Source organism: Homo sapiens, chromosome 2, assembly GCF_000001405.40.
Source record: "Homo sapiens chromosome 2, GRCh38.p14 Primary Assembly".
NCBI lineage: Eukaryota > Metazoa > Chordata > Mammalia > Primates > Hominidae > Homo > Homo sapiens.
In genome coordinates this window covers 127,324,422-127,338,754 of record NC_000002.12, presented here as the reverse complement: position 1 = coordinate 127,338,754, position 14,333 = coordinate 127,324,422, and the positions used below count along the sequence as shown (strand labels likewise).

Genomic DNA, 14,333 nt, shown 5'->3' with positions numbered 1-14,333 from the left:
AATCAACTTCAGTGTCCATCAGTGGTAGACTGGATAAAGAAAATGTGGTACATATACACCATGGAATTCTGTGCAGCCATAATAAATAACAAAATCATGTCCTTTCAGGAACATGGATGGAACTGGAGACCATTATCCTTAGCAAACTAATGCAGGAACAGAAAACCAAATACCACATGTTCTCAGTTATAAGTGGAGGGTAAATAATGAGAACACATGGAGACATAGAGGGGAGCAATAGACACTGGGGCCTGCGAGAGGGTGGAGGGCAGGAGGAGGGAGAGGATCAGGAAAAATAACTAATGGGTACTAGGCCTGATACCTGAGTGACTAAATAATCTACAAGCAACTCCCCGTGACGTGAGTTTACCTGTATAAGAAAACTGCTCATGTACCCCTGAACTTAAAAGTTAAAAAAATTTTTTTTAAGTTTGTGTTCATAAAGAATTGTAGCATTCTGCAGCCAACGTTGACCCCTTCCCAGAAAAAATAAGGTAGCATTTCATTTAATGTGGTAACTGTTCTCCAAAGCTGACATTTCATCCATTTTTCAAGCACTTAAGCAAATTGTGTTTTGTTTTGTTCTTCAAATAGTCTACTCTGGATTTTTAGAAATGAGGATGTTTTTGATTCTGATAAATGAAATTAGTTTTGGATACTCAGCATGACACATAAAAATATAATATTCTGTATTTCCCATAACAGGATCAGCAAATGTCTCATACTCCTGGTACCTTCACTAATAGATCTTGGTGTTCTTTCCTGTTGAGCCCAGATTCAGCAACATAATTCTCAACTTTTTAGCAGACACTATCAATTGTTTGGAGCTGGTACAGAACTTCAAAATTCCCTCCTCGTCTGGTCTATTTTAAATGAATGGCTAAAAAACAAAATCATTTAGAAATTGTAGAAATTTTATCTAATCTCTGAATGATCTGTCTAATCTCTGAAAGACTGATTTGTCATTTCATTACAGAATGATGTCCGAGTCAAATTTGAACATAGAGGAGAAAAAAGGTAAGGAAGGAAACATTACATGTTAATTAATTGATTTAATCAAATGTGTATTCTAATTAAGCTTTTGAAAGGTTCTTTTCAGATTTGAATGAAGTTTCATGGTTTACAAATTGAGAATAGAGTAGTCCTTGGGAATGTGTAATGTGCTTAGACTTAAGATAGATAAAATATGTCAAAATTCAGGTTAAATATTAGAAATGATTAATGTCTTTGCAATTTTCAGAGATAAATAAGATCACTGTTTAATACAGCCTTTACATATTTTCACTTCCTTTCATTTTTACTTGGGGGAAATTAAATATATTTTTCCTTATAATTGTTTCATCCCTCCAGATACTATATAGCATTTATATATGTGAGCTTAACATTTACAATTCTGATTATTCTCAAGAGACCTCAGTTTTATGACATTTACGTCATTAGTAATGTTGAGGAAAGTGAATTGGACTAGTGGCTGCAAATTATTTAGCAGAGATGTAAACCTAGTCTTCTACTTGGTATCTGTATCTCAGTGCACAAATGATAGGGTGGTAGTTGACAACAAAATTGCTAACAAGACCTAATAGGAATTAAGGCCGATAGAATTTTTTTTTTTTGAGATGGAGTCTTACTCTGTCGCCCAGGCTGGAGTGCAATGGCGTGATTTTGGCTCACTGCAACCTCCACCTCCCGGGTTCAAGCAATTCTCCTGCCTCAGCCTCCTGAGTAGCTGGGATTGCAGGCAACAGCCACCATGCCTGGCTAATTTTCGTATTTTTTAGTCGAGATAGGGTTTCACCATGTTGGCCAGGCTGGTCTCGAACTCCTGACCTCAGATGATCCACCCGCCCCGGCCTCCCAAAGTGCTGGGATTACAGGCGTGACCCACGCTCCCAGCCTGATGATAGAATTTCATTTCTGCTATTAGTGTCTCATGAAATTAATGTAGTGAAAAGCCTAACAGTTTTAAGGATTTTAAAGTGGCTCACAAATCATATAAGCATATTCTACATAGAAATATTTAAAACTGGAATATATCAGATAAACCATGGAACTATCCAATCTATTTTCCTATTTAAGATTCTTTTTTGGATATTTTCCCAATTTTTTCATTCATTCAGCATTATTTGTTGAGTACTTAGTATATGCTAGGCCCTGAAGGAATAAAGGGAGCAAAGCAGACACAGTCTTTTTCCTTATGGGGCTTATAGTGTGGTATTGGTGGTCTTCAAGCTTTAGGTGCATGCTCTCTAGGGGCAGCACAGGCCAGTCTTTGGGAAGTAGAAAGAAAACACTAGAATTTTAATCTTGTAAAAATATTTATTTTGGAAGTATGCCTACATGATATATGTACCCAAAAATGTTGAGTTGATAAGGATACAGAAATCAAAATTTGAATCCCTGGAGAACAACTTTATTCTTTTTAACAGTTTCATTTCATTCTGTCATACAGATGTCACATAGTTAAGTTTAATCAGTTTCCTGAATAAACATTTTGCATTGCTCTTTAACATTCATATGGTAGTTTCAGTGCAAATTAAAAACTGCAGAAAATTTTGAGAATTTCCTTTTTAAAATTTGTATTAGGATAAAACAGACTTCAGAGTTTTTGAACTTTGTGTTGAAAATGTGTGCCTGTGTTAAAAAATGTGCTGTTGTAGTGTTAAGTAAAGTGAATATTTACGTAATTTTTAGTTAATCTTGTATCACTCTAAAAGGAGGTAACTTTTGCAAGTTTATTATTTAACTTTGCCTAAGAAAATAAAATCTTAAAATTGTGTTTATATAGAATCCTTCAGTTCCCCAGACCAGTTAAACTGGAAGATCTGAGATCTAAAGCTAAAATTGCCTTTGGACAGTCTATGGATCTACATTATACCAATAACGAGGTAAACATGTACAGTTTAACTTTAGTAGATCTTACCTTCAAAAGTAATGTGTTCGTTTAAGAGACTGCTTTTAAGACTCGTGTTTTTATTTAGGGATTGATAAATATATGGTATGTCAGAAGGATAAAACAAGTAAATTTTAACTGACTAAAATGGATTTATTTCATTGTGGAAAATAATAGAGGGTGCTACTATGCAAATAATTGAATGAGGGTGTATTATAGGGGAAAATATATGTATTACTTGGAATTTTGCTGCTTATTTATGGTTTTGTTTTTATTCTGTGTACTTTATTGGTGAACTGTCTTTTCCTCTCATACTCTACACTTGGCTACAGATGACAGAGCTTTGGTAGTTAAACAATTGAGTTAAAGGATTATTTTAGTGTTGGTTAGGGCTCAATTAGCTTATTATGTTTGGGAATCAGTATGTATGATCTGAAGGGCTTGCTCTAGCAGTGAGGAGCTCTGCGTTGTGGAGAAACCCCTTTTTAATGTTCTGTAAACTTAGGATTGGATTCAGTGATCTCTGAAGTTTCTTTTAGTTCTTGAGATTCTATGAGATATCAGGATCTTGTGATCTTAAAATTTATAGGACAATTTAGTTAATAATTGGGTTAGTAATTAGGTGAATTTGTTTTTTATATTCAGAAAGTATTTATTAATTTTTCAGGCATAATGCTATAAGTTATAAGTTGCAGCACCTCATGGAGTATAGACCTTATAGACTTGTGGTACAAGCAAACCATTAATAAATGAGTTGTTTGAATATACGAAGTTCTTTGAAAGAAATGCATAAAGTAGGCCAGACATGGTTGCTCACGCTTGTAATCCCAGTACTTTGGGAGGCAGAGGTGGGCAGATCACAAGGTCAAGAGAACAAGACCATTCTGGCCAAGTGGTAAAACCCCATCTCTACTAAAAATACAAAAATTAGCTGAGCGTGGTGACGTGCACCTGTAGTTCCAGCTACCTGGGAGGCTGAGGTAGGAGAATCGCTTGAACCCGGGAGGCAGAGGTTGCAATGAGCTGATACCGCGTCACTACACTCCAGCCTGGTGACAGAGCGAGACTCCGTCTCAAAAAAAAAAAAAAATGCATAAAGTATTGTGTTGAAGAATAACGGGCAGAGCACAGTGGCTCATGCCTATAATCCCAGCACATCGGGGGAGGCCAAGGCAGGAGGATCACCTGAGGCCGGGAGTTCAAGACTAGCCTAGGCAACATAGCCAGACTCCATCTCTACAAAAAAGTAAAATTATCTGAGTGTGATGGCATACACCTGTAGTCCCAGCTATTCGGGAGGCTGAGGCAGGGGGATTTAAGGTGGGAGGATAGCTTGAGCCCAGGAATTTGAGGGTACAGTGAGCTACAGTTGAACCACTGCACTCCAGCCTGTGTGACAGAGCTGTCTGAACAAAAAAGAATAAATTTTTAAAAAATGTCTTGAACTTGAATTATTATCTCATAGGATGATTATAGGGGAGCCTAGACATATCTTTTTTTCTTTTTTCTAAAATTGTATTATGGAAAACTTTCAAATGCCAAGATACATTAAGACTACAATATTGTCTTTATCTACAGCCTAGTAGGTCTATCAAGAAAAATGAGGTTAGCATGACATGATTTGTCCATATTATACCTATGTCACCTCCTAAGAATTGCTGGTTTTTTTTTTAGTGACTTCTCCCAGTTTGCTATGTAATTTTTTTCTGGGGTTTTCTTGAGGATTGACATCAAGCTAACTGGTTTTTGTTTTTGTTTTTTGTGTGAGACGAGGTTTCACTCTGTCACCCAGGTTGGAATGCAGTGGCCCGATCTCACCTCACTGCAACCTTTGCCTCCCAGGACTCAAGCGATCTTCCCACGTCAGCCTCCTGAGTAGCTGGGACCACAGGCAGGCACCACTGCTCCCGGATAATTTTTGTATTTTTGGTAGAGGCGGGGTTTCACCATGTTGCCCAGACTGGTCTCAAACTCCTGAGCTCAGATGATCCACCTGCCTTGGCCTCCCAAAGTGCTGGGATTACAGGTATGAGCCACCGCGCCTGGCCTGATCTGTATTTTTAAGAACCTTTTCCCATTTTCTAAAAATTGGAAAACTGCTCCATTTTAGTTTATTTTTCTCATGCTTTCTGAAGGATTTCTGTGAGTGGTTCTACCATTATATTTTGGTGGCCTCTTGGCAGGAATGTGGTAGGGGTGGCATTAGGATAAGATTACATTTAAGATTTCTTGCAACCCTGAGATTCTGTGAGTGAACCGTATCCTGTTTCATATCTTGACATATTGTCCCAAACCAAATGCATGATCTTGGACACTGGGGGTACTAAAGAAAGTCTTACTAGTTTTGTGGACATGTGGTCAGGCAAAAAATTCATTTATACTGCATGTTATTCCACTTCTATAAATATTTTTCTAGTGTAATATTAATTCCTCTGTTCAAAATGAACTGTTACTCTATAAACTTCTAGTTGGCTAGAATTGAAACGTTAAGGAAATTTAAGCTGGAAATATAAGCTGAGGTTGTTTGGATTTGTTAGTTTGGCTTCTCTTTAATAAGGGGTGTGTGTGTGTGTGTGTGTGTGTGTGTTATGAGGGTTGGTTGTGGAGGTGTTCAGGGTGCATGTGTGTGTGTGTCATGGGGGTTGGATGTGGAGGTGTTCAAGCCAAGTAAGGATTTTCTAAGATCACTTCCATTTTAGATGAGTAGAGCAGGAATTTTTTTTTTTTTTTTTTGAGACAGCATCTCCCGCTGTCACCCAGGCTGTAGTACAGAGGCACAGTCATGGCTTACTGGAGCCTTGACCTCCCTGGCTCAATCAATCCTCTCCCCACTCAGCCTTCTAAGTAGCTGGGACTACAGGCATGCACTACCATACCTTGTTAATTTTTGTATTTTTTCTAGAGATGTGGTTTCACCATGTTGCCCAGGCTGGTCTCAAACTCCAGGGCTCAAGCGACCCGCATACCTCAGCCTCCCAAAGTGCTGAGATTACAGGTGTGAGCCACTGCGTCCAGCCTGGAGAACCTTTTAATGGCTGTCTTCATACTTCACTATGTAAATTCAGGAAGATAATTCAGTTCTTTCAGATTTCAGTTCTGTTTAATGGTTCTCGAACTCAATTTTAAGTTTCCTTTCTAGAAAGCATTTATATCAACAAACAACTGATTTATCAAAAATAAGCCAGAGGGTGATAGATTTCATGAATGAGACTGAAATGAATTCACCAAGCCAGAAAACATTATCTGATTTATTTAGTGTAATGTAGATAACCTGGGACTTGTTCATGACTCTTAGTCCTCATTTTACGGTTTGTAATAGGTAACCTTAGAACACAGGCAGGATCACATTAGGTCTGTAGGCAAGTGCCTAAGCTGCTGCACCAGGCACCCCTCCAGGATGTTCACATTTTACAGCAGCAAACTGAAGAGCAGCAGAATCATTTATGTTCATATTTTTTTCTGTCATTTGACTTAGTGTTGTTTTCCCCCAAAAGTAGCAGTATCTTGGAGAAGTAAACAATCCAGTTATAAATGAATAATAAAAGTAAGTATTCAGATTTTCCCCTCAAATGAAAAATCGGCGGAACAGTCATTACCATTGCTTTAAAATGTTTTCCAGTGCTTGAAAAGTAATAGACTATTGAAGATAGAAGCAAGATATACCAATATGTTTCATAATTGGTGGGAAATAGAAATGTGTTTAAGTAGATCAGTAGATCAGGCTTGTTCTATGATACCAAACAGTTAATAATTGTATTTTATTAGAAAAAAATTCTCATAGAGCGAAAAGAGCCCAGTTAGTCGGTCCCTTACAGTAATACAAAATTAGCTACAAACAGAAATTGGGAATATATTTTAACAACAGAGTAAGTAAATGCAAGCAGATTGTCTGATGGAATTCACATAAATCCTTCTTTATATTCGTGTTTGGCAGCCTTTCTTATAACAAGGACTTTTTTGGCTGGGCATGGTGGCTCACGCCTGTAATCCCAGCACTTTGGAAGGCCCAGGCGGGCAGATAATTTGAGGTCAGGAGTTTGAGACCAGCCTGGTCAACATGTTGAAACCCTGTCTCTGCTAAAAATACAAAAATTAGCCACGCGTGGTGGTGCATGCCTGTAAACCCAGCTACTGGGGAGGCTGAGGCAGGAGAATCACTTGAAACCAGGAGGCAGATTGCAGTGAGCTGAGATTGCCACTGTACTCCAGCCTGAATGACAGTGAGACTCCATTTCAAAACAAAAAATCAAAAACCCCAAGGACTTTTTTCACAAAGAAGTCTGCAGAATGAACATACACCATGCCAGCTAGTGGGTTTGGGTTCAGATTGAGCTTTTAACACTGTGAGATTTATTAGACAGCATTTACCAGGTTGTCTGCTCTTTGCTCATTGCTGGTGTAGGGGGTCCTTGTCTTCAAAGAATTTATACTGTAGAGACCCCAAATTAATTCAGCCTTGCATTTTAATGGCTCATATATTGTGCTGAGTAGAGCAGGTTAACTAGTGCAGAATATGTTCACTTGTTTTTATTCTGTTCCTCCTTCAATGAAATGGAATATACTTTGAAGTTATTGACAGAGTCTTCTTAAGTTACTAAATTGACTTTTTTTTTAAAAAAAGGACATATTTTTATTTCTTAAATTGTATGAATTACACTTTTTCTCATAGACCTCTTAGGTGCTTTTGTCCTCTATAACATCTGCTGCATGAGAAGACTAGTGAAAGCAGATTCCACATGCAGGGTTTACTATGGAATAGTTAACTCATTAGCTTATTTGTTTTAGGGTATAGTGGTCAGGTCACTAGGCTCAGAGAGAAGAACTCTAGGTGGGCTGTAGATTGCAGATATGTTACTAGTGGTACCCCTCCATGGCAGCTGTCCTCCATGGCAGGTGCTCAGGATGTTGGTATGTTGAAGAGCACACCAGCTGAGAGTGCAAATTTGTGGTTACTATTGAAAAAAGAACTGAGTTTCATCTATACAGAAGAAAAGTAGTACCTTTATTTCATATGGTCTTTGTCTGTACTTCTTCATTCTTTTTAGGGGCGAACATACTATAACTTAAATTTAGCAATATTATGGAAATATCCTAGAAAATTAATCTTTAAATGTTATTTTCTAGAAGAATGTAATGATTAATAAAGAAAAATTTAAAAACATACATGTTCATTCTAAGATTTTAGTGGCGGTAGAATGAGGAGGGCAAAACAATATACACATACACATTCAGACTTTCATCATAGTAACAAATCAAAGAGCAAGGTATTTTGACATTTGTAATTCCTTAGTAGTGGAGATGCTCATGGAAGAACTTGACCTGGTGAGATAGCTGCATGGTTCCTTATGTTTGTTTTTAGTTGGTAATTCCATTAACTACTCAAGATGACTTGGACAAAGCTGTGGAACTGCTGGATCGTAGTATTCATATGAAGAGCCTCAAGATATTACTTGTAATAAATGGAAGTACACAGGTATGATTTGGGATATTTTTTTCAGTAAGAATTATAGGACTTAGGCTTGTAAAAGTTAACATATGAAACATAATTATATTCTATAATCATTGCAATATTTTCATTATGATTAAATGTAAACTTACATCCTTTAATTACTATACTTTAATATCCTTACTCCTCAAAAACCACAGTCATAGTTATAAATAAGTATAATATGTTGTACATACGAAGCTAATAGAAACTGACAACTTAGAATTATGTTAGAATTAAAATTTCAAAGAGTAGAGGATTTGATTAAGGCTCACAAACAATATAAAATGTTTTGTACTTGGTAGGGGAGAGGATTCTGTTTAAAGCCCCAAGGAGGAAGAATAGCATTAACTGTCTTTTCTCCTTTGTAGGCTACTAATTTAGAACCATTGCCATCACTAGAAGATTTGGATAATACAGTATTTGGAGCAGAGAGGAAAAAACGGCTATCTATAATAGGTAAGAAACTAGTGTCTGAATTATGAAATGAATGATTTCTCAATTTCTTCTCCATCCTTTAATGTAGTGTGGCACCTAAACATATTCCTGATAAATAATATTTTATTTCTCTACTTCCTATAATTTAATTTAAATACACTCTAATATTTGACGTCCCTTGGAAATTCAAGTTTACAGGATTAGTAATCTCCAATTTAAATTCTTTATTTATATACTCAGGGTATTTTAATGTTAACAAATTCAAATAAAACTTTAAAGAGGTTTTAGGCTGGGCGCGGTAGCTCATGCCTGTAATCCCAGCACTTTGGGAGGCCAAGGCGGGCAGATCACAAGGTCAAGAGATCGAGACCATCCTAGCCAACATGGTGAAACCCCATCTCTACTAAAATTACAAAAATTAGCTGGGCGTGGTGGTGCATGCCTGTAGTCCCAGCTACTCAGGAGGCTGAGGCAAGAGGATTGCTTGAACCCGGGAGGCGGAGGTTGCAGTGAGCCGAGATTGTGCCACTGCACTCCAGCCTGGCGACAAAGCAAGACTCCATCTCAAAAAAAAAGGTTTTAATTGTACAAATAGAATGGAGGAAAAAAATTAAAAGAAGTAATTATAATGTATTAAAATTAATAGAGTGTAAATTCACAAGCCTTTCTCTAGGGTTTTAGTGATTGCCAAGAATGCTCTCAAAATAAAGATACTAAGAATTTTTATATTATGCTTTATTATTACTTTATTAGTATTCATTTTCATTTGCCATTAATTTATTGTTATAATTAAGATTATGATATAAAGAAATAAAGATCTTGCATGCTGTAGTTTAAGGAGGCTTTATTCGTGCAACATGAGTTTGACACAGGTACTCTCAACTCCCCATTCTGTCTGTTCTTCAATTTGTATAAAACATTGATAATCTACATTTTTATTTGATAAAAGCATTAACATTGTTTCAAAAAACCGCTGGTATAAATGTTCTTTGAGAGAGGGCAGTGAGTATGGCCATTAAAGATGGCATGAAAACATGTATGAGGGGCGGATTTAAAAGAGAAAAGTTAAAGAGGAGGAAAAACAAATGTGGTTGGGAATCTAAAAAAGATTGGTAACAGAAGAGGATTGTTGATAATCAAAGAAAAAATTGAATTGGCATGTGGACCATCAAAAAAATAGACATTATTCATGTTCTCTTTTGGTCCCCAGAAGAAGCTATTTTATGACCATTCTCTTCGAAGTGTCTGTCTTAAATAAGTCCTACTTTGGGTTTCAGGAATGCAGAAATGCGAGCAGCAGAGGTGATACACAAGCAAAATACAAATGGCTTGTCTTTTGCATTCAGATATATTTCGATATAGTTTTAAAATTTGGTGAAAGAACATTTGAAACACCCAAATTCAAATTCCAGCTCTCTGATGAACCTGAGACCAGTAAATGTGTCTTCATCTTTAAATCATGGGATTGTTGTAGCATTAAATTGAGAGAACACTTGTACATTTTACTTTTCAAACTAGAAAGCTTATTGTACATTTATACATTTTGTACATTGTACAAAGCTCAGATGTTCATTGTACATTTCTTTCTTTATCCCCATTTCTTATCACATTACGGTACTTGTCATTTTTTAAAAAATTGCTAATTCACTTTATTTTATTTATTTTTTGAGACAGAGTCTCACTCCGTCACCCAGGCTGGAGTACAGTGGCGCGGTCTCAGCTAACTGTAACCGCTGCCTCCTGGGTTCAAGTGATTCTCCTGCCTCAGCCTCCTGAATAACTGAGATTACAGGCGCCCGCCACCATGCCTGGCTAATTTTTATATTTTTAGTAGAGATGGGGTTTCAGCCTGTTAGCCAGATTGGTCTCGAACTCCTGACCTCATGTGATCCACCCACCTTGGCCTCCCAGAGTGCTGGGATTACAGGCGTGAGCCACAGTGCCCAGCTCTAATTCACTTTAGTTGCATTAGACAAAACAAGCTAAATGTACTAGTTAAATTGACATTTTAAATATATTTTGAATTAAAATTACACTGAATACCTCAGTCTTATTCTAATAAATATTCTTGTTTGACGTCAGTGCCAGCATAAGAAGAAATTGGAAATCATAAAGTATAGAATTAGTGGTCTTTTATTGGCACTGCTTTAAACTTGGAATGGCTTTGCTAGATATGACCATTATCTATTTTTCTTATATGTTGGCAGTTATTCTTTTTAATTGTTTTTATAAAAGGGAGATGGAGGAAAAACTCCTTTAGGTTAGGAGTGTATGCTGATAAACAGGTCTCAACCAAGAGTGCGTTGGCATACGCATTACTGTGAAAAAGGGTTGTCAAATAAGGAGACAAAATTTTCATAGCTTTTTTTTTTTTTTGGTCCTATCTCCTTTTAGTAATTGACTATATTGATCTTTTGTAAGCACGGGTATATGGAAGGAATAAAAATATTAGGGACCAGTATTATTGTGGCTACAGTTGTTATGAAGCCTAAATCAATCCTGACTCAAATTGAGCTCCTAATCATTTTACAGACAAGTGTAGACAGTACTCTCTTTTATGCACATGTCTTGGTAATAATTTTGCTTTCTTTTTCCTCCCTGTCTCACTAACAAATGCTTGCATATACTCACAATGACTCCTTTACATAAGGCTAAAATGTTTTTTGCTTTAAATTGGACCAGAACTTAAATGCTCACATAGTTTAATTTCAAAAAACTATGAGGAAAGGTGAGACACTGTACTAATAAATATAGCATCATTTCCACAGAACCAAGTAAAATAGAGTGGGTTATTGTCTCATAAGAAATGTGATTACTTAAATAAACTGTCTTAATGCCAGAAATCTATATTGTATTATCATCCTATCAGCAGTCAGAATACCATCCTACCTAGTGAGTATAAATGAATATTATGGTGAGGTTAATAATTATGATAGGGTGGGAATTTACAAAGGTTATAAAGCCATTTGAAGATTTACAAATGAATGTTCTGATAAGTTTTAATAAAAATTGAATTTTCTTTTGCTGAAATTATTAATGATATAATTCAGAAATATAGCCTATTTAAAACAAAACTTGATTCCCTTGCCTATAATTATAAATTACATTATTTTTCTTCCTTGAGGTCCTACTAGTAGAGATAGAAGTTCTCCTCCCCCAGGTTACATTCCAGATGAATTACACCAGGTTGCCCGGAATGGGTCATTCACTAGTATCAACAGTGAAGGAGAGTTCATTCCAGAGAGCATGGACCAAGTAAGCAAAAGTTTGATTTTTTAAATTTAATTTAAAGAGATGTTGTCAGGGTCAGTGTGATTTGGCACGTAACTGGGTGTGTGTGTGTATTATCTCTTCTCTAATTACATATCTTCTTAACTGAACAAAATAGAAAAAATATAGGAAAATGCCCATTAATTTACATGTGCCTGTATAAAGAAAGCTGGAATACAGCTGGTTTTATATTGCTCAATAAGTGAATGAATGAGAGTGAGTGAATGATAATGCATTTGCTTTGTAATTTAACAGCCAGATTTTTTTTTTAAACATTTGAAAGATAGAATGAAACTACAAATATTTACCTTTGTGAAACTGAGGTTTGTGAACTTTCTGAAACATTTAAAAAATACTTCAATTTTATAGTATTAAAATGTTTTCATGGAGTTGCTGTTATTCCCTTAACATTGCATTGCATCGCATTATATGTTCACACTATTATAGTAGTTTACATTTTCTAATAATGTAATAGTCATAGTGTCATTAGTCTCAGTTTGGGTGGGGCCATTGTTCAGTTTTCAGTAAGCAAAATAGTGTGAAATATTGTAGCTTTTAATTATTTAGTCAATAGTCTATAGAGAAAGAATATTTTTCTCTTAGGAAATTTTGAAGTCGTGGCTTGCTTACAAGGGACATTTGAAAATGAGTAACTCTGGAGAGTGACCACTATTGAGTATGGAATTGTTCTAAAATTGTGAGTGAGGGTTGCACAACTCTCAGTATTCTAAAAGCCTTGACTTGTATACTTTAAATGGGTGAATTTTATGTTACATGAAGTATGTCTAATTAAGGCAGGTTTTTTTAATAAGCAACTTTTGGTTATATCAAATTGAATCATGGTGGAACTCCTTTTTTTCCTAGATGCTGGATCCATTATCTTTAAGCAGCCCTGAAAATTCTGGCTCAGGAAGTTGTCCATCACTTGATAGTCCTTTGGATGGGTAATGTTTATCGTAGTTTTTGGAGGGTTTATTTGTTTATTTGAGACAGAGTTTTGCTGTCACCCAGGCTGGAGCGCAGTGGCGTGAATGCGGCTTACTGCAGCCTTGACCTCCTTGGCTCCATCAGTCCTCCCACCTCTGACCCCCGAGGAACTAGGACCAAAGGCATTTGCTATTAATACCACATCTGGCTATTTTGTTTGTATTATTTGTAGAGATGGGGGTCTCACTTTGTTACCCAGGCTGATCTTGAACTCCTGGGCTCAAGCGAACCTCCTGCCTTGGTCTCCTAAAGCGCTGGGATTACACACATGAGCCACCATGCTCAGCTTACTGTAGTTTTCTTTTTTAATAGATATGAGTAAATATTCATACAGATAGAATGTTGAATTATCAGTAACTTTTTTGTGCTACATTCAGAGGAATAGAATTGGTACTTGTGTATGATGACGGCAGATGAATTTTTGCACAGTGTGGATAAATCCCTTTACCTCATGGGACTCAGTATCTTTGTTAGTTAAAAGGAAATCTGATTATAATAGTTTGAGTATTCCTGCTTGTCAAAATTGTGTGTTTGAAGGCAAATCAAATTTAGAATTTATGTACATTTACTTTTAAAACTGTGTTTATGAAAAGTGCTATCAACTTTTACATTAATATGTTTGGTTTTGGAAATTTCCTGAGTTATTTCACCTGTTCAGGATTATGTTCATTCTGGCACCAGATTAGAAATAATTTAAATTCTTGGAAATTGTAGCCCACTGTGTCACATTGGTACATGTAGGCAAAAATTTAAGTACTTTTGTGAAAAAGCTGTTCAGGAATATGAGCAGGATAAAGTTGCAAAATGTGAATTTTTTGTTACACGTGCTCCCCCTCCTGGTCTCAATAGGACAGTATTCTTGGTAATCCTCTCTGGAATTGCTTTATGAAAGCAAATTCTGAAAAAAATAACTAATATTGCGTGGGAATGCACATTTAAGTTTCTTTTATCCATGTATATGAAATTTCTGTCTGTGTCAATGTCTATCTTAAGGTAGACATTTAAGAAATTCAGGGAAGTAGTAACGAGAAAGCTATATATTTGAGTACTTACCATTTGCAAAACACTATCCTGGATACCTTACTTATGTACACTTGAATAGTTGGAAATTATCTTTTTTGTTGATGCAGAAGGGTGATTTGCCAAGGTTACATAGTTAAGTGGCAGAGCTTGGATTGAAACACAGTGCTTAGAAACACCTAATGATTCCAAAATACGTCATTCTTCCACTGTACTGTAAGGTTAATTTTAAGTCATGCTCTT

At 36.2% G+C, this 14,333-nt stretch overlaps 1 protein-coding gene across 6 annotated transcripts in view; it reads left to right on the top strand.

Annotated features, from left to right (window-relative positions):
• The window catches only part of MAP3K2 (mitogen-activated protein kinase kinase kinase 2), an 89,798-nt gene that overhangs the window by 49,711 nt on the left and 25,754 nt on the right, over positions 1-14,333 (top strand). For all 6 annotated transcript variants that reach the window (NM_001371911.1, NM_001371910.2, XM_047442990.1 and 3 more), the window contains 6 exons: positions 977-1,017; positions 2,786-2,885; positions 8,250-8,363; positions 8,747-8,834; positions 11,938-12,068; positions 12,948-13,027. In NM_001371911.1, the coding sequence (NP_001358840.1) occupies positions 977-1,017; positions 2,786-2,885; positions 8,250-8,363; positions 8,747-8,834; positions 11,938-12,068; positions 12,948-13,027 (554 nt within the window). The remainder of the gene's footprint in view (positions 1-976; positions 1,018-2,785; positions 2,886-8,249; positions 8,364-8,746; positions 8,835-11,937; positions 12,069-12,947; positions 13,028-14,333) is intronic.